The sequence below is a fragment of the Homo sapiens genome, chromosome 3, assembly GCF_000001405.40.
Source record: "Homo sapiens chromosome 3, GRCh38.p14 Primary Assembly".
Classification (NCBI taxonomy): Eukaryota; Metazoa; Chordata; class Mammalia; order Primates; family Hominidae; genus Homo; species Homo sapiens.
In genome coordinates, this window is record NC_000003.12 from 21637929 (window position 1) to 21659576 (window position 21648).

Genomic DNA, 21648 nt, shown 5'->3' on the forward strand with positions numbered 1-21648 from the left:
AAAATTTAGTCTTAATACATTTGCCCTATACTTTCCTATCTTAATCTGTTATTGAACATATCTTCCACAAAAATTCCAAATAATAATCAGAGGAAATTTAAAGAAGCTTGGCAGTAAAAATAAAATAATACTGGTCATTACATTGTGCTGGACATATTAGCAGAGAAACTTTAGCCAGCATTTTTCCTAAACATACCAACAAATATGAACAAATTCAAGAAAACAGACAACATTTAGGAAAATACAAATAACTCACAAAAATTAGTATGCAATATACAGTTGAGACAGAATTCTCCATGAATCTTATGTTTCTGCACTTCTGAGAAAAGGGCCTTGACAGCATTGTTCTGTTTGTTATACAACAAACAGGTTTGGAAATTAGTGTTTCCCTCTGAGCAGAGGGCAGATTTGTTTCCTGACTGGTGTAATACAGATAATGTCTTTCTCTGAGGCAAAGGTTGGGAAGGTGTGCAACAAGCCTCCTTTAAAAGATTTTGGTATTTCTAAGTGCAGAGGTCCTCAGCTGTGATACAAACCCAGTACATGTGCAGCATCCACCTGAGCCCATCCCTGCATCGCCCTGTGGGACTTGGGAAGCAAAAGGAACCAATGAGAACATAAAACTCATGGTGCCTGATATGACATCTGTCATAAAGTTATTTATCTCTGACCTAGAATCTCATATCTTCTGCCAGCATCTATAAAACTTGGGAGACTAACTCATTAGCTTGCCATTACTGTAAAGTCTCAGACCATGTGCTGTTTCTGGCATATCTCAATCAAGAAGTACATTGGTTTTGTACATAGAAAGCTACTTTAGTTATGCTTTATTTAAGCCTTTATCTACATCTTGTAATACTCAGGTTTCTGGAAGACCTATAGTGAAATATAAGCTTGTACTGGAATTTGACAAGGAATGTCGAAATGGCAATAACATGTGAACCCTTTATCTAGAGAAATTTCCTCAGTAGCTGAAGCATACACACATATGCATTGGTAAGAAACCACAAAGAAATGGAAACTCTGATACAGAGTATAAAAAGCAGTTTTTAAAATTCACCAGATAGATCTACATATACGCATACATATTTTAACATCAAAAAGAGCAACTCTAATTTGTTATGTAATCCGACTCCCAATCTGACTTATCTAGAATTTCAGAACCTAGGGAGCAACCAATTATAATTTTTCAAATTGTTCAAGAACAACTAAGATAAAAAGCATATAGAAATATACACTGATCACTTCCACATGCCCTGTATCTCTTCCCTGCTTTATTTTTTTTCCAGAGCAGTAAGCATCTTCTGGAATACTTTATATATCACTTGCTTATTTATTTATTATGTGACTCCCTCCACTAAAATGCAGGCGGCATGAAAGCAAGAATGTTTGTGTTTTCTAGATCCCCAGAGCTTTGGCAGCATATGATACATAGTAAGTATCCAATAAATGTTTGTTGAATGAATTGACAAATACATTACATAAATAAATAAAGCTAATATAATTTTTAACAAAATTGGAAAATTACTTAAAATGCAATTTTATATAATGCTTGAATTTATCATGAGCTCTTCTTTATGTCATTAAATATTCTTTCAAACCATTATTTTTTATGACAATATAAAATACAATTTTACTGATCTATCATAATTTGAAGATTCCCTCATTGGTAGACACTTGGCTTTTGTCCAGCATTTTGATATTGTAAATTAGCCTGCCTTATACCACCATGAATATTAATATTTGACCATCCTAACACTGCCTATGCATGATAGTCTCATTTTAATGAAATTCTCTATATTGTTCACATAAAAACCAATTGTGTTATAAACATGCCCTGCTTTAAGCAATTTTGATTAAAGTCTAATTATATATAATAGTTATAGATTTTTTATTTTAAAAATGTTCACCATGTGAGTCTGCTGAAGAGAAATTCCTTTACCATACTATTGTAGTCCAGAAAAAAGAAAATTGAGACCAAACATTTCAGACATAGTTTTATTATATAAGAAACAATCCAAAGACACTTTTAGGGTTTTAAATGATCTTTCTGGATTATTCTTCTTTTCCAGCACTTTAAGCTTTTAAAAATTTAAATTGTTAGCCTTAAATTATTTTCAATTTTAAAATCAGAATGCTTTCTTTCTTTCTTTCTTTAAAGTTTTCACTTATTCTTTTCTTTTCCAAGTCTTTGAGAAATAAAGAAGCCTGGACTCCACTCTGTGCTGTGAGAGCTTCACAGATCTAGAACTGGTCCTCTCAAGCTTTCTAATTCACATGTTATACTGCCATTAACATGGTGGAAATTGGGCCTTGTTCTTTGGTTCCCTGGCTTTTTTCCACTTTTTGATTGAGCCATGATAGTGACTAAAGAAAAGTGTGAAAATACATCCCGTTCCACACAAACCATGTTCTTAAGGTCTATCGCCAAATAATGGAAAAATCTGAGTCACCACGCTAGAAACTCAGATGCTTACTGTTATGGACTGAAGTTTGTCTGCCCCAGATTCGTATGATGAAGCCCTAACTTCCAGTGTTATGGTACTAAGAGGTGAGACCTTTGGGAGGTAATTAGGTTTAGAGGCAATCAGGAGGGTGGAGCCCCCATGACAAGATTAGTGCCCTTATAAGGACAAAGATACTAGAGAATCCTCTCTCCTGTGAGAATACAATGAGAAGATGATCATCTACAAGCCAGGAGGAAGTCCCTTGCCAAACACAGAATCTGCTGGCACCTTAACCTTAGGCTTTTAAGCCTCCAGAACTGTGATAAATGTCTGGTGTTTAAACCGCCCATTCTATGGTATTTTGTTATAGAAGCCAGAGCTGACTAAGACTATTTTCCAAATTTATTATAATTTTTCTAGGCACTGAGAAGCACAATGTCTGCTGAAGGTGAAAGTACCTCTAGCGACAGGGAGCTACCAATTCACTAACTATAACAATGACCTAGAATGTTTTGTGAATGTATTCTTTCGTGTTTGTGACTGCACATGTGAGAACCCACAGCTTTGCCTACTCAGAGGTATATGAAGGAGTGGGATGGTATGAAAATGGTCACTGTTAGAGTCTAAATGCCCTAAGTCACCAAATCAGAACACATATTCATAACCAAGACTGTCTGGATGCCCACCTTTATGTAGTAGAATGTCCCAAATTCTCAGCAATATCGTAAAGGCTGGAAGTAGAGTTATGGTTTTCCTGACGTGTTCTTGCTGTAACTATTTCCTCACAAGTTCCTGTGGTGAGCATCCTTCTCATTAGTCCACTTTCATCAACACTGGAAATCACTCCCTACCTTCCATTTTCCTAGTGCTCTTGGGTTTAGTTGAGTGTTAAGGAGTACCTAGAGCAAATTTTAATATGAGGAATGAAGTACAGTACCAGACAAGTTGGTGAAGAGGAATAGGAGGAGGAGAAGGAAAAGAGAGGGAGTGAGCAGAGGAGGGGGAGGTGAGAGGTATGTGGGGGAGTAAACCAATGAGGAAGAAAAATTATTATTTATTATTATTATTGTCTCATCACTGGGAATTTCAAAGGTTATATTCCTCTATTGTCTGGTCCCCTTGCTGTGTAACTCAGGCTGCTTTTTCTTGTTATACCATTATTACATCTCTCCGTTCTCTCTATTAACACATATCACCAACTCTCTATGACTGGACAATGTAAAATTTTTATCATTTTACTATGCAGAACAAGTCAGCTTTTTTTTTTTTTTTTTTTTTAATATAGAGATGGGGTTTTGCCATGTTGCCCAGATTGATCTTGAACTCCTGAACTCAAGTGATCTGCCTGCCTTGGCCTCCCAAAGTGCTGTTGATACAGGAGAGACAAAGAAATTATTTAGACAGATAGTGAGTGTAAAAGAGTCCTTGGTGGACCTTCCCTTTTAACAAAAAGCAGCCCCAAATCATTTCTTTTCTAACTAAGGGCATTCTAAAATATCAAGCTGCACACATAAATAGGCAAGCTGGAAGCTTGCATGGGGGAATGCCAGCAGCTGCGCCAATAGAAAAGGACTACCTGAAGGCAAGGCATGTCCAACATTGAGGCTCCTTCTTCCCTTTTCTTTGTCACCACGTGTACAGTAAAGAAACAGGCAACATGGCACTGGCCAGGCAGAAAACTCATCTGCATAATAAAAGATTAGGTTGTGGTGGCCAGATTTTCACACCCTATGCAAATGGCACACCTAGCCTTAACCAGTGTTTTGCGCTTTATGCAAATGACACACCTAGTCCAACCAGTCTTTTGTGCTATATGTAAATCAGACACTGCTTCCTCAAACTCATCCAAAAAACGCTTTGCATTCCATCGCAGAACTGGCAACCCATTTCTCCAAGACCCCTTTCTCTGCAGCAGAGAAAGCCCTTCTCTTTATTTAGCCTATTAAACCTTCCCTCTTAACCTCACTCTTTGTGTGTCCAAGTCCTTGATTTCCTTGGCATGAGACAAAAAACCTCGAGTATCACCCCAGTTAAACACTGCCACTTCACTGGGATTACAGGTGTGAGCCACCACACCCAGCCTCAGCTCTCCTTTTAGGCAATGTCCTTCCATAGCATGACATAACGTATCTTTTATAGGCCAAGATGCTCCTTGAAGTATTTTCACCCTACCTAGATTCAGTCAGCAACATTCACTAATTAAGAGAAAGCAGAGACTTCTGAGTATATACTTAACAGTATCGAAAGTGGTGACTCAGACATATATTTGCACACAAATGTTTATAAAAGGATTATTCACAACAGTCAAAAAAGCATAAATGGCCCAAATGGATGAATGGACGAACAAAATGTGGTTTATACTGTGCATACAATGGAATATTATTAAGTCTTTAAAATGAAAGAAATTTTGACACAGGCCACAAAATGGGTGAACCTTGAGGACATTATACTAAGTAAACCAGACACAAAAGGACAAACACTGTATAACTCCATTTATACCTCATACCTACAGTAGTCAAATTCATTGAGATGAAAAGAAGAATGATGGTTGCCAGGGTCTCGGGAGAGGGAGAAATGATGAATGCAGAATTTCAATTTTGGAAGATGAAAAATTTCTGAAGACAGATGGCGGTGACGAATGCACAATGTAAATATACTTACACTTAAAATGGTACATTTAAAAATGGTTAAAATGGTAAAGTTTATAGTATATCTATTTTATCACCAAAAAAAGAAAGCAGAAAAAAATGTATTTTAAAAAGCCAATGTTTTGAATTGTAAGACCTGGGCAATTGAGCCACAGTGTATAAAACCTCCATCATAAAAAGACAGATTGAGAGAAATGCATGCTCATGTAAGAGCTAATTTTCTCAGTTCAAAGGAAAACACCAATCCTTGGGGTGAAGAAGAGAGGAAAGAGAGGAGAAGGTAAAAAGCTAGCATTGGTTGTTAAATAAGAAGGTGAGTAGCAGAATGACAGGATAGCCATGTGATTTTTGGAGAAAATAGGCAAAAGGAAACTTGTTCCAGCTGTATCCTCCATCTTCACTCTACCCTAACACCAGGAAGGACTGGTGAAACAGCAAATACCCAGAGTTTCCTTGTGTTCACCATAGTTCAAAAGAAAAACATATGTCTGCATGAGAGGTAGGGGAGATCTAAGCAAATGAGTCTGAGTCAATCTCACAGAATCCCAGAATGCTCCTGTGACAGGGAGTTCAGTAAAATGAATTCTCATGCACCTCAGAGTAGCATTGACACTATTATTGCCTTAGAGATCCCTTTCAGTGTTCCAGATATTTAGAGTGTCATGGGAGGAATGACTGAATATATTTCAAAACACTTAATGATGTGTAGAAATGGCTGAAAGTGAGGTGATCCGCCGAGACCCTGTGGTTTAGAACTGTGGTGTCCAATGCTAGCCACATGATGCTAGTGGCTTCCCATTTGAACAGTACTGATACAAGACATTTCCAAAACTGCAGAAAGTTCTATTGTACAGTGCTGGTTTAGAACAAAGGGCAACAATAGCAACTTATGTGGCTGGACAACCAAGAATAATGTGGGATAGACTCTGAGTGCATCCCAGCTCTTGCCAGTACAAACAGAAAAGGACAAAGAACAGGATGTCTCCTGCCCCTTGACATTTTTAAAGCACCCAAGATTTAGGTATAGTAACTCTTCATTGAATGTTGTCAATGAGTTGTTGGAAATTGCAACTTTAAGCAGAACAACAGGCAGCAAACTAATTTTACTACAGGCTAATTTATATAAACAAGTTATGTTTCTATGGCATATTTCTGATTACAAAAACATCACCAAACTTCTACATAAAGACCAAAACATTTCTGATATTCAACATTAAAATAAATGTGAGCTATATACACATTTAAGAAAGATTAATGAAAGCAAGATAATTATTTACCCAGTTATTCCAGCTCAGGGTCACAGGTGGCCAGAGACTCTCCCCATAGCTCAGGGTGCAAGGCAGAAGCCCACCTTGCATAGGACACCATTCCATCACAGAATGCAGGTTCACACACAGTCACACTCACTCACACTGAGACAAGGTAGGCATGCCAGTTAACCTCACGTGAACTTCTTTGGGATGTGGGAGGAAACCAGAGTACCCAGAGAAAACACACGCAGACATGGGAGAAATGCAAACTCCACACAGTGGCCCTGGCCAAGAAATGACATTTTTTCTCTTCAATTTTATAGCAAGATAATGTTGAAGTAAATGATGCCATTTGAGTACCTGCTGTATATTCCAGGAAAGACTGAACACAATTAAAATTGTATCTTTACAATACATACAACGGAGGCTCAAAATAATAGACATTAAGTTCGGTTTGAAGAAAAAAAAGTAAATTTCCTGCATATGTACCTCCTGGATTAAAATTTATACTACATCACACAGGAATCACACTTGTCTGAGATGAAACAAGCCACATTATTGTGTAAAAGTGACTGCAACAACTTTTTTAAAATAAAAATTGTGTTCCAATCAGCACCTAGATGAAATGCCCAGCACAGTGCCTAGTTTATCTGCCTAGTTAATAGATGACACTCAAAACTGATTGCTTTTCTGATTACACGAAATAAAAGTACTATCTGAGAAGAAGCAAAATTCCCATGTCTACAAACAGGAAAGCTAACTTGGATAATAAGTGTGCAATGAGAGCCAAATGACCTTGAAGGCTTCTAAATCAGAAAACTCAGTATATGTTTGATGCAACGGTCCCTGAGAAAGTTTTATGATTTCAAAATCATATACTATATCAGGTTATTTTGCCCACTGGCAGTACCGGAATTGGCAAAGCTGTACTTTCAAATTCACACTAATCAGTTAACAGTTGTTGAAATCAAATTGCAGCCAAGGTTGTTAGAGTCACTGATAAAATAAACAGTTGTTGAGAGGGGGTGGCACAAGGCAGTGAGATCACACTAGCAGCTGGGACTCAGGGTGGGAAGATGCCTGGGAAGTCAGAAGGCAGTTAAGACCTCCACAACCTACACATTTGCAGACACTAGTTTAAGCTACTGACTCCTTTAGTCTTGAACTCTCCTAAAGGTGGGGGATCTTAACTGCATTTGCAATTACCAGAAAAGGTAAATAAATGGTAAACCGCTGAATCCACTGGCAATCCAAATTGCGAGATTTAAAGCTGGGCTGGGAATTTGAGAAAAATAGAGTTGGTAAATTAGCTACTTGGTACAACTTCTACAGATGTTTTTTTGTGAGCTCTGAGTTTCTGGAAAAGCTAAAGTTCCCTGCAGTCTCCACCTACTTCCAAAGCAGTCACCATGGCTCGCTGTCAGCCAAGTTTCCTGCCAACAGTCCCTGTGTGGGGGAAGGAAAGAATCAAAGAAGGACAACTGGACAAAGGTAGTATGACTTCATCCAACTAGATATTTTTTCTCCCTCATTACTAAGTCACAGTTCTGGGTCTTTTTTCAGTTGACCTTTTCTAGGTCCATGTTCAGCATTATGTATAGAGAAAAACTGTACATTTTCACCAGGAATGGTTTGTACTTGGTTATTTTAAAATTCAATATAGATGAGTTTCAAATTTGTCTTCTACCTCAAAATGCAGCAAATTCCAAGAATGGAGTTTAAATGAGCATTGTGTAAAAAGCTCATTCAAAGAAGCTCGGTCCTCATTTACAGGGAATGAGAAAATACCTAAAAAGAATGTGGAGGCTGAGGCCAAAGTGTCAGATAAGTTTTTTTTAAAGAAAGAAAACCTCAGGGAAATTTTTAAAAACTATTTTTCATTTTAAAAGTTAAGGAAGGGAGATGTATAATTTTTAGGGTGTCAAAACCGGCCATGTAAGTATATGCAATCATGGTTTTGATTATGGTTAAGTAAATGAAGAGGAGAGGAAACTGTCATACTTATGGACCTGCTTATTTGTGATTGCGCTTATTACTGTATGTACATCTCACAGTAATCTACAGACAGCTTACAACAGTGCTGCACACGATTAATCTGACTTCACAGTGAGACGCTGAGAAAGGTGAAGTAAGTGGACTGAGAGCCACAGCTCCCAAGGGCAGTGCTTGGATAGGAACTCAGATCTTTACCTTCAAAGGTAAGCTACAAATTCAAAAACTAATAACCACAGACTATTTTCAGTAGTAACTGAAACTAATTCAGCAAATACTAACTGAGTGTCTATTGTGTATTGACCACCTAACAAATAGTGAATTTTGGAAATATGTCAGACCTAGATAAACTCTGATAATCTTGACAACTCTTCAGTCTCCATTTACTTCAGAGGCAATTAGAAAGAAAGAAACAGGCCTGCCTTCACTTCTCAACCATCAGAGGCCTGTACAGACCCTTCCAGTTACTTTCCTTCCTTATATCATCTGGGAATGTATTAAACCTGCATTCTGGGCCTATGGCTTTCATACATTCGGTCACAAATAGAAAGCAATGTTAAGTCCTGGGTTGCTACCTGTAATGGCAGTCCTATCCAGCCCCTCTCTGTCTGATGCTAAGGCTCAATGAAATCAAGGCCAGACAGAATTGAGGACCAGTCCAAAGTTATTCTCTACTCCATCATTTATTCTAAGCTGCCAGTGATCTTTATAATTGGTAGCTAATTTCTTAATGGCATATCCAGTTTCTTGCTGATAAACAAAACAGTGGCAAGGAAAACAGCAAATATGGACAGATTTAGGATTTTTAATATTATATTTACAGACAATCCAAATGTTCAGAGTAACTCATTATGCAAATTCTGATTTGGCTTTTAAGTAAAGTATATTTTCTAAGTACTAGTATTTTAAAGGAATTGCCTAAATAATATGTAACAAAAACAAACAAAACAAAATCTCATATGAGAGTTTCCTTGTTGTCTTATTGTAAATTATTCCAGATCTACATTTCTTTGGCAAAATATTCAAATATGGCAGCAGTGAATTAATTAATCCATCCTTCCTTCCTTCCTTTCTTCATTCCTTCCTCCCTCCCTCCCCCTCTCCCTTCCTTCCTTTCTACCGTTCTTCCTTCTTCTCTCCCTCTTTTCCTTCTCTCACTTCCTCACTCCCTTTTTCTTTGCTTGCTTCTTTCTCACTCTCCCTGTCTCCTTCCTTCCATTTACATACTGCAATTAACACGACTAACCCATGCTTATTTTTCAGAGCACTTATATCTGAAGAATCTCCAGTAATATAGCTAATTATGTAATATTGATTGCACAGTTGAATCCCTAAAATAATGATTTCATTCTACTTTCACTGTAAGTCTGTTTATTTTACCCACAGAATTAATTGTAGTGGTAAAATATGTTTCTCCCTTTATATTCCTGACTGGTGTAATCAAATAATTTCTTAAAGCACATCACTTTTCATTTTAAATGTAGCTTTAAAAACCAGGTTAACAACTGCCTACATTTAACTGTAGATTTTATGTGCTATAATATTATATGTCATCTATTACCTGTTTTATAGGCTTGGCAGAATAAAATAATCATTGATCTTTTTTTCATATGAATGTTACTAAGAAAAATGGTATAAACGTCAACCGATTAAAATATTACTTAAGATGCTTTATTAAAATTTATTTTAAAGCAGTTTTTCTTATAAAGACTTGACAAATCTAGAGAACATCTCATTTAATCTCATTTATGAGGATGTTTTGCATGCAAAGAACAACCTGAGGGAGTGTGAGATTCCAGAAAGGCTTGGGCTAATATGGTTTGGCTGTGTCCCCACCCAAATGTCATCTCGAATTGTAATCCCAATAATCTGCACGTGTCAAGGGAGAGACCCAGTGGGAGTTGATTGGATCATGAGGGGCGGGTTTCCCCCATACTGTTCTTGTGATAGTGAGTTCTCATGAGATCTGATGATCATATAAGCACCTTGCATTTCCCCTGCTTGCTCTTCTCTCTCCTGCTGCCATGTGAAGAAGATCTTTGCTTCCTCTTCGCCTTCTGCCATGATTGTGGGTTTCCTGAGGCCTCCTCCAGCCATGTGGAACTGAGAATCAATTAAACCTCTTTTCTTTATGTTACCCAGTCTCAGGTATTTCTTTATACCATGTAAAAACTGGCTAATACCGGCTGTATAGAGTGCTAGGACATGTAGGCAGTTCTTACAGAACTGCTGTGCAAATTGCTTCTTGCACAAATCAAGAGGGGAAGAAAGATGGGAGAATCACAATCTTCTCTGTAGTTTTGTTTTTATAAACATTGATAACAACTGGAAAAAGAACAATTGCCAATTAAAATCTCTGTATGATTCTATAAGAATCTCTTATGATTACTTGCTTGAAATATCCCATAATAGGAATTCATCAAATTTGAAGAGTGTGAATTGGAGTAGAATTGGAAAGCCTCTACTAAGAAAAAAGAAAAGAGCAATCATCATTGCCACCCTCACAGCTACCCAAGACAAGTACAGTATTACTAAGGCTAGGTGTGTTCCAACAAAAAAGATACGGAGTGATATTTCATTTAGTCCACATATAACCTGAGATGCACTTAGTAGTATTTTCCCCACTTTGAAATCTTTCTAGCCATAGTAGTATTATCTCCATTTTACATGTGAGAAAACTGAGGCACAGGGAGACCAAGTAACTTTCCCTACATTATATATCTAGTAAGTGGTAAATCTACAATACAAACCTAGGACTCTGTGATTCCAAAACCCATGGTCTTAAGCACCACCATCTTGATACTCAATATGTGGTCTGTGGACAGGCATTGTCAGCTTTACCTGTGGCTTTTTTAGGAGTACATAATCTGATTTAATTGCATACTGACATTCAGAAGCACTGCTCTATACTATAACAATAATATGAATAATAATAGCATATATGACATTATATGTTTATTTATAACTTAAAAGTATGTGCACATATGCTACTTAGCTGTGGGTGATACAAGGCTGGAAGGCAAATAAGGATGATGTTTTAGAAGAAAAAGAGTCCACACTGAAGTTTCTGAGATAACATGGACACAGTGTACTCCTGGAGGATTAAGAGGGGAGTCATCATAGATTGATGTCCCCAGGAACTATTTAGCAGGATGACATCATGAAAATTTGCTAAATTTTGCCCAGGAAAGGTTGTCCAGCCACATCAAGAATCTTACCAAGAGTGACACTAACAGTAAGAATATAATGAAAGAAAGCCATTTTATAAGAGTTTGTTTTCATTTACACAAGAAGAAATCCTGGCAAAGCAACTCTTCAGACCCAGAAGATATTTAAAGCTTCAGTCTCTTTCATTGAAAGTTTTAAATAGCTCAAAGCACCAAATTTAATTAATTTATATTGAATGCAAAACCGGATATAATTATTTTATCATAAATGCAAGTCAGCTAAAAAACAAAAGGATAGGCTAGAATTTATTTTTTCCCAATTCTTTGACTTTGTCCAAATAAGAGCCAGTTCACTAAAGAGAATCAATCTGCCAAATTAGTAGTACTGAATTTACTACTTAAATTATTTAAAGTGTATTGGTTTCTTTTGCTTGTCTCTTTATAAATTATAAGCTTTATTCTTCATTTATTCCACAACATTCCACACACATTTATGATTGCCAGTGTCAGTTCAATATCATGGCTGCAGACCACCTAACACATGCAAGGAAGAAAGAAAATAGCTTCTATTGAACCAGATCAATAACTAGAAATGGAAACAAACAGTGAATATAGAAAAAAAAAATTACAAACATTAAAGATGGCAGGAAGATCCAAAGATGTGAAAGGAAGGCAGGTATCCTGGAATCCTAGTATTTCAAAAACTGAAGATATGGAAAATGTGACCAGAGTAAAAGCACAGTATAAAGAATTATATATGTAATAAAACATTTCCATGAAACTACAGAATTGCATATTAAATATAAACAAAGTTCATCTATTTGTCAACTTTAAATCTCCAAAATAATTTCAGGAACCAAAATTCAATTTGGAATATTTCTCTTTGCTCCTGTAGTGAGTATTTTTTTCTTCAAGTTGTTCTTTTAGCTTACTTGGCTGTAATAATAAAAGTAAAGCTAATTTCCCCTCTCCCTGCCAATTACTGTAAAGAAAGACCATCTAAACCAGTTAAATACAGGCAACATGATACATAGATGAGAAAGCAATATCTACGTGCATTTATTTTTTATTAGCCAAGAATTTCTTTAAATTTATTTTAAAGAAAGAAATTTTAAACATTTATTTTTTAAAACAAATTTTTAAAAAATCCTCTGAAGAGCTCAAAGGCATCAGCAAACGATATGCAATTTAAAATAACATATATAATGTATCATGTTTTCAAAGGAATTCTAAGAGTAACGTGAGCGCTCCAATTCTACATGCTCACCTCTCACAGATTCTCAACACTTTCTAATGAAGTTAGAAATCAATGAGTTTAACACAAGCATTGAGATTTTCCTCATCATTTTGGACTAACAGTTTCTGAGACCAGTGTGTTTGGCCTTAAATAGAGTGGAAGTTATTAAGTAACACCTAAACTGAGAGTTAACTGATGGGAAGTTTTTTGCTGTTGTTGATATGGATTGCTCTCCTTTTTAAGGAGTATGTTAGCTTTTATTTTTGCCAGAAATATGATTTTCAGGACCTCGCAATTATCCTAACAATTTGAAGTCTTAAGAAAAAAGGGCCAGGCGCGGTGGCTCACGCCTGTAATCCCAGCACTTTGGGAGGCTGAGGCGGGCAGATCATGAGGTCAGGAGATCGAGACCATCATGGCTAACACGGTGAAACCCCGTCTCTACTAAAAATACAAAAAAAAAAAAAAATCAGCTGGGTGTGGTGGCGGGCGCCTGTAGTCCCAGCTACTCGGGAGGCTGAAGCAGGAGAATGGCGTGAACCTGGGAGGTGGAGCTTGCAGTGAGCCAAGATCGTGCCACCGCACTCCAGCCTGGGCGACAGAGCGAGACTTCATCTCAAAAAAAAAAAAAAAAAAAAAAAAAAAGGTGAAGAAAAAGTCTAAGGCTAAGAGCATATAAAATATTATCTCATTTATGTTCTGACTCAGGTTATTTTAATTATTTTCATTCAGCTAAAATGGAACATATTCATCAGATCTACCATATAGTATGTCTGTGATCACTAAATTATATTGTGTGGAAAGAATGGTTCTATTTTGGCTAGTAGGCACAGCAATGTGGTATTTTTTTTTTCTTTCTCTTTTTTTTTTTCTTTTTGGTAGTGACGGTGGTGAAGAATGGTTTCTCAAAGTCATTGTGAAAACTATTAGAATAATGCCATTTATATAGCAAGTTAAATGTACAGACAAGTCTGTTCTGCCGATTTTAAATTTAAACTGAACTTCTTAACCTCCTCCAGGAGTTCTGTGACACATATAGTGGGATTAATGAGCCTTGCTTCTAAAAGTCAACTCTTCCTAATACTCAGAGCCCAGTGCTCATCTAAAAACTAGAGCAATTGCTTGAAAAATAAAGACCTTTCTATAAAAAATTAAGCATCAAATTGACATTTTAAATTTTGCAAGCTAGATCAACTTCTTTTAAGAAAGTGTAAATAAAATCTACCACTTCTGAGAAATAATTAAAGGGCAGTGCTAGGAGGGTAATGTTAATTTGTCCAAGACTAAAATACCATCCCTACTCTGAAACTTGATGCCAGTTAGAACATCATCTCAATCAGATTCCATTAGAATTGATACTCATATAAGCAGCAATTAATAAAAACCAGAAATTTTACTAATCTCTTTTACCTTCACTGAATGTATAAACGTTTAAAGTAAATTATAATGTCTTTAATAGGTAAATTTAAATTGAATTTCAGGAGTAGGTTGCCAATCTATCTTCATAAACACATTTTCTGATTGACTTTTCAGTCACTTCTACATAGTAGAAAGTTACAAGAATCAATGCATCAACCTTTCTACCTGGATATTATATAGTTCTACTATAAGGCTTTTGAACAAGCCAAATTATAACTGTAACATAAAGACCACAGACCTGGGGCATGTTAGATATGCCTCTCATGTCATGTCAGATAATACAAACAAGTGTCTGAAGCTGTCACATTTAAGTATTTATACTGGCTGGATCCCAAACTAATGATATAGGTAGCAAATATTGCAATAAAGTATTAATATATTTTTTTAATTTTATTATTATTATACTTTAAGTTTTAGGATACATGTGCACAATGTGCAGGTTTGTTACATATGTATACATGTGCCATGTTGGTGTGCTACACCCATCAACTCGTCATTTAGCATTAGGTATATCTCCCAATGCTATCCCTCCCCCCTCCCCCAACCCCACAACAGTCCCCGAAGTGTGATGTTCCCCTTCCTGTGTCCATGTGTTCTCATTGTTCAATTCCCACCTATGAGTGAGAACATGCTGTGTTTGGTTTTTAGTCCTTGCGATAGTCTGCTGAGAATGATGGTTTCCAGTAGTATTAATATTTTGCTGAAGATATTTGCTGCTTATAAAATTTGAAAAGCTTTCTAAAATACAAAAGCTATATAGATGATATACTAAATAACAATGTTGATCACCTGAGTATTAACGTGTCTTCATTTTTGTTCAGATTTTTTTTTAAATAACAAAACTTGAACATTACAGAAATCTGGAAGTTTCCTTGTTTTTTCCTTACCTCTTCCAGTGTCACTCACTCCTCAGAACCACCTGCAAATAAGGACTTGTGTGGTCTCCCAGTCTATGTTTCATGTATTGTAAATTAATTTCAATCTCCCTCTCTCTCTCCTGCTTTCTCTTTCTCACTGGCATGTGATTTAAAAATACACACACATACACATATATTCTATAATTCTATTACATTTTGCAACTGGTGTTTCTTCCCCCAGCAGCACTGAGCTTTTGTGATATTTCCATGTAAAAATAATTCTTTCATTCCAGTTGTCTCTTAAGGTATATTTTATAATTAGATCTTAACATGTGTATATATGTGTGTATATATATGTCTATATATGTATAAATGAAGTATATCAGTTTCCCATTGTTTATATTGTTTCTTTTTTTGCTACTAAAAACAAAAATGAACATTTTTGAACCAAGTCTCCTGATACACATATGTAAGAAAGAGTTTTTCTACATACCTGCACTCAGTATTTTAAACCATGAGCCACAGTAAGAAGCTTGCATATGTGCATAAACATATGTATACATATACATAGGTATATATACACAATATATGTATGTTTTTTCTCTCTAAAATTATAAAATTTTCACTATGATTTTAGGTAAGTAAAATTAAAAACAAACTTGAAGCTCAAAATAATTATTTATCTGCCTCATTCCAAACAAGGCTCTTAAAACCAGATTCTGTCAATAGCACCTCATAGGTAGCATAACTAATTAAGGTGATTCTAAAAATCAAATATGTACTTAATGAATTTTTTTACCTAAAAAAAGTAAGTAGAACTATCCGGAAAAAAAAAGGCATTTTCTTTATAGAGCTCCAAAAGCTCCATCTATCTGAGTACATAAATTCTATATATGTTAGAAAGTGGCAGAAAACGCTGGTTATCTGTCTTATATCACAGGTTTTTTGGAAGGCAAAAACTGTTGCTTTGCAACATACTATGTGGTAAAAGTCACAGAAGCATTAACATGGTACATATGTACAGATGTTCTAAAGAACATAAAGATGTTTTGATAAAACTGATTATTTTTCTATGTGATTTCTTTAAAGAAACTGCTTTAAAATGCCCCAATCTATTGTACAACTGGACTGTCATTTCTTTTACCTTCCATTTAAAAAAAAAACTTGAATATAGAAATTAAAAAATAAAGTTTCTTATCTCTATATATAGTCACTTAAAATACCTATTTTTTATTTGAGTCCCTTAAAATTCTTTGACAGGTCCTTGAAATAAATTTCATTTTAGAGTATTCAGGGAAAGACGTTCAAGAATTAACCACTAATTTTATCATTTTAATATTTGCCCAAACTCAAGATAAAATGTGGAATAAGAGGTTATACTTCGAAGAAAGGCAAAATGCAAGTTATCTTACTTTTACTCTACTACTGTCTTGATTTATGAGCTTCAGAGAGAACCATCTGACATTGGCACACCTCTTCAGGATAAGAGAAATTACGTAGCGCTAAAGGAATTTCAGTAACAATGTTCTTGTGACTCTCAACCATACGTTATATGAATTACCTAAATAACTGCTTCAAACTCCCCTTCCTTTTCTACATGTAAATGGAACCATGAAATCCTAAACATACAACAAACAGAGCAGTGCTTCTCAACAATCTTTGCTGAAGGACCAGCCCTACCCCCATCAGTCATAGACCAATACTTTTATAAAATACAATAAAAATGAGTTATCAGAAAAAATAAAATGAAATAGACTTACAAAATATAGCCATAATTCTTGATTGGTTTTCAAAGATGTGAAATTACTCTGTTAAGTTGCTATAAATACCTCTAAATGCTCACTCTCAATTTCCATTAAACAGTTCTCAGATCAGTATGGGTCTGTGTACCACACTTTGAGAAGTACTGAGTCATGAAACAAATATACTTGCTGGCAAAAAGTTCTCATTCCTTTTACTAAGAGTAATTGTTCTTTACATTTACGTTGGTGGGAGGGAGATGTGGAAGAGGCAACTTTACTCAAGTGATAGTCTGAGAAAGTTAGTTATTCTTTCATCTGTACTTAGTTGTGAAAATGGATTTTCCCACTAATTTTGGCCATGAGGTAGAACACAGTGACTCTCAACACTTAAAGGGCAAAGAAATCACCTTGGGGAAGTGCAAAAAACAACAACAACAACAACAAAATGCTTATTAAGGCTTCAACACCAGAGATTCTGGTTCAATAGGCTTCCTCAATGCCTGCAATTTCTGTGTTTCTCCTAACCTTCAACACCTTTACTCACTCCTAGAAGGTCAATATGATTATTCTAGTTTCACAGATGAGAAAATGCAGGCTCCACGTTTTTGCCTTAGGCTGTAAAGTATTAAACATAGAACTCAAATCTTTTAGATTCAAAGTTTAGTGTTGTTGCTTTTTCTTATGTATGCCCTATAGTATAAAAGAATATTGAGTTTTACAAAGCCTAAATTGTTACTGAAATAGCAGTGTATTTTTTAATTTATTAACATTTAAAGTTATTTATTCCCCTGACAATGATTGCCATATACAGCAAAAATACGTGTGCTGGTGACATTAGACAGCATCTTTACTGTCCACTGATGTCCTAGACGCTCTTTTTTATAGTCATTCAATCACAGCCAGACTCTCATTCAGGAAATATTTTGCTTTCTCAGTTAAGTCCCTTGAGGTATACCAAATTATTAAGTTAATTAGCTATTAAAGTATACCAAGGCTCATATAGCTGATTTAAAAAATTACAACCATTTGCAGACAAGAGGTCATCTAGCTATGTTGAAAACAAATTGTACTGAACTTGGATCAAGGAATCTGAAATCTAGCCATGATTCAGTGATTTACCATTTGTATGATTTGGGGAAAATAATTTTCTCTCTAAGTTCAGCTTCCTTATCTGTATCATTTAGATAACCTGCAATATGCAAGGCTCTTATGAAATTAGATTTTAAAAATAATGGGTATAAAAATGTTTTCCCTACAGTCTTTGTCACTTAGTTGATGATCAATACATTTTTTTTCCTATTAAAAAAGGCAATATATCGTGTATTTACTTCCTTGGTTCATAAGAGTTACAGGGTAGGGGGTGCTAAACTAGCTCCAAATAGAGAACTTTCTTACCCTTACAACTGTATGTAGATGACCCACAATATAGAGTCTCTCACCCCACATGTAGGCCTATATACTTTCACTGGATGTAGTCAGGTAGGAAGCTGGATTACCAGTTGTCAGGAACATTGCAGAAGAAATTCCAGCAAGTGTGGGTAGGCAGATCAGATGGCTCTAAATATCCTTTTCCTATTAAGGGTTGTCATAATAATACCATAGACTGGGTGGTTTCAACAACACACATTTATTGTCTCACGGTTCTGGAGGCTAGAAATCCAAGATCAAGGTGTCAGCAGGGTTGGTTTCTTCTGAAGATTGTTAGGGAAGGATCTGTTCCATGTCTGTCTCCTTGGTTGTAGATGACATTCTCCCTGAATCTCTTCACTTTATTTTCCTTCAATGCAAGTCTCTGTGTGCAAATTTTCCCTTTTTATAAGGACACCAGTCATAATGAATTAGGGCCCACTCTAATGATCTCATCTGAACTAATTACATCTTCAATGACCCTATTTCCAATTAAGATCACATTCTAATTCACTAGGAGTAATGGCTTCAACATATGAAAATTTGAGGGACACAATTCAACCCATAATACTATTATTCAATATTTAGGATCTCCATGAGAAGTAGATGTCAGGAGTCCCAGTTTTCTCTTAGTTTTGCCATTTGCTAGCCATGAAACTGGACATCACTCAATAACTCTAGGCTTGCTTACCTGTAAAATAAGCATGTTGAAGAAAAAAATTAACTCTAAAATATTCTTTCATTTTAACATGTCTATGTCTAAGTGTGGAGTAGAGGTCTCCAAAAGAGCTACTGGATCACAAAATGAGGTGTAAGCTTCAATATTTTCTTATTTGGGTCCTCTTATTTACTCAAAATCCCAGTTACTAAGAAACTCACAGTAGGAAACAGGCCAAATATATTACTTGCAAAGCCTCATCTCATTATGATTAGGTTGACTACATAAAGGATATCTATATATAAATATATAGATGTGTGTGTGTGTAATGTGTATTATGCCTCGATCTTTAATGAGAAGAACAATTAACATACGCATAAATCAAATATCTTTGGAAGGATAGATACAAAAGCCATTTACCACATTGCTTGCCACTTAAGAGAGAACTAAGTTGCAGGGGAAGAGCAGTCAGGAAATTGTTGCATTCTCTTTAGATTTTGAATCAGAGGAGAATGCGCTACCTATTCAAAGAGTAAACAAGGATTAAATAAGAAAAATATTCATGCGTTGTGCATTTGTTTAGCCTTTGGTTTCTAAGTCTGAATAGTGTATATTGAAGTCATTTTGTGCTTCGAGGTCACTATAATAAGTACATTTGACTTTGACAAACTTTCCATTCTGCAGAAAGCTACAGGACTCAGCAAACATGCTTAGATATCTGCTTCAGTGTGAAACGTATAATGAAAGAAGACTTCATAAGCAGCTGTTTCTTAAGAAGCTTGTGTTATACAAATATGACACAGTTAATGAACAGAACTAGAGAGCAATCTGCTACATCTGTCTTCAAAGGACAAGGAAGATAGCAATCAATACTGTATTTACGACGGCATTTTTCACCTGAAAAGTTTCCACTTATCTACCGCTTCTGTCTAAGAAAGACAGGCTTTTTTTTTACTTAAAATTTCTCCCTTGCTGCTTACCTATTTTAGTGGTAGCAGCAGTTGTATAAACTTAGTAAGAATAGTTATTAATGTGTAAACTGAATTAATTAATATCTCTTTGAACAAAACAAATGGAAGTGTGCCTAACCACTGTTTCTATCACTGGCTGAGGGAAAGAAGGCATTTCCGTAGCTGGAGCAGGTAATAAAATACAGAGCCAGAGAAGAGAGCACTATACAGGAATCATTTTTTAAAGGAAAGAAGACAAAGTGTGCCAATTCCATTTTAAAGATGAAGGAGACAAAGATTCTGAAGGGTATATATCCAAAGATAATAAAAACGTGAAATTTTCTGTCTTGGATTCTGTATTTTTATCTGTAATATTATAAGTGTACATCTAAGCTAAAGTTCTAGAATAATCTCTATATGTTAAGCATACTTAATGCTGTCTTAGAGTCCTAAAATACCTCACCAACATTTTATCACTATGACAGCCTTTATGGACTTACACAAAATAGTTGATGAATACTATAAAGAATTGATTTGTAAGTACATTCTTTGGGCAACCACTGGGATTTTTACATCACTGTCCTTTTATTAACCAGAGTAAACAAACACATGAGCCAACTTAAAATTACAGATGCAAATTAAGGAGATGACTCGAGTCTATGCTTGCTTTTCTTTCCTAATAAGTGATTAAATTAATAATTTCTGTTAGATGTCAGTTATCTAATGCATAAAACAGTGAGTGCTTAGAATTTTTCTTTCTTATTGACACAATTCCATCAATTACACTTCTTATGGTACAAATGTTATGGCTATTTCTCTTCTATCAATTATCTGTTATGTGTTTTTCCTGTCTTTTTATTTATCTATATCTATTACCTATCTACCTATATATCTATCTATTCCACTCTATTCATTCATTCAAAAAAATGTGCGTTGAGTCTTTGCTATGTTTCATGTTCTATACTATGGTTACCTTAATAAAAAATATGCATATGGTATTTATCTCAGATTCCAAAGCAAACCTTAACCTTTACCATATAGCTTTCCTTGGCCACCTCCAAGTGACCTCTCCTTCCTTTGAACTCAGGTAGCATTTACTTTTAAAGAACTTTGAGCATTTAATTATAGTTCTTTATAGAATGATTTAACTACTCCACCCCATTTTCAACAAATGAAGCAAACTCTAGAGGTACCTGCCAGTGTAGAGTACACTGTTTAGTTTAATCTATTAACATCTAGGTGTTTTTCTAGTACCTGATAGAAGAGAATGTTTAAAGGAGTACTAATCAACTATGTCAACTTCATAGATAACCATTCTTCCTCCTCCTTCTGCCTTTCCTCCTCCCTCTTCTCCTTTTTCTCCTCCTCCTCACTATCCTGCTTCTTCTCTTCTTCTTTCTCAGTGTTATCACTGTCATCGTATTTCTAGTGTCTACTATTGTCAGACACATTATCAGTGCTTAATAAATGCCCAGTAAGTGAATCAGTAAAAAATTACCTCTTCTCCCTCCTCATACTCTTCATTATATTTGTTAATGTTATGTTTTTAACAGGTGCTTTCAAATGCAGTTATTTTAAGTAGTCACATTTTTCAATATACAGAATTATTGAGTAGGACTCAAAAGTTTGTAAAAGGAAGAAATCATTGAATGAATAAATGAAATACGCATCTATGTGTTTTCCTCAGCAACATTTTTGAGATCATGACACACATAAAAACTTGTAAAATTTCATAGAAAAATGTTGGCCTGTAATCAGTTGAAACGCAAGTGGTATCTGGTATGTAGTAAGCGTTCAATAAATGGCTGCTGTAACCAGAGTCCTGAGCAATGTCATACAAGGAAGGCTCGTAGCATTTCTGGAAGCTAAAATAT

General features: G+C 35.5%; 1 protein-coding gene across 17 annotated transcripts in view, besides 1 other annotated feature; it reads right to left on the reverse strand.

Moving 5' to 3' along the window:
• ZNF385D (zinc finger protein 385D) overlaps positions 1-21648 on the reverse strand; it is a 960546-nt gene that overhangs the window by 225711 nt on the left and 713187 nt on the right. The gene's annotated exons all lie outside the window — the stretch shown is intronic.
• Positions 19455-19655: a silencer, noted in NCBI's record as "peak4572 fragment used in MPRA reporter construct". NCBI's record gives its function as "represses an SCP1 promoter by STARR-seq MPRAs in K562 erythroleukemia cells {active_cell/tissue: K562}" and the evidence as "EXISTENCE:reporter gene assay evidence [ECO:0000049][PMID:32103011]".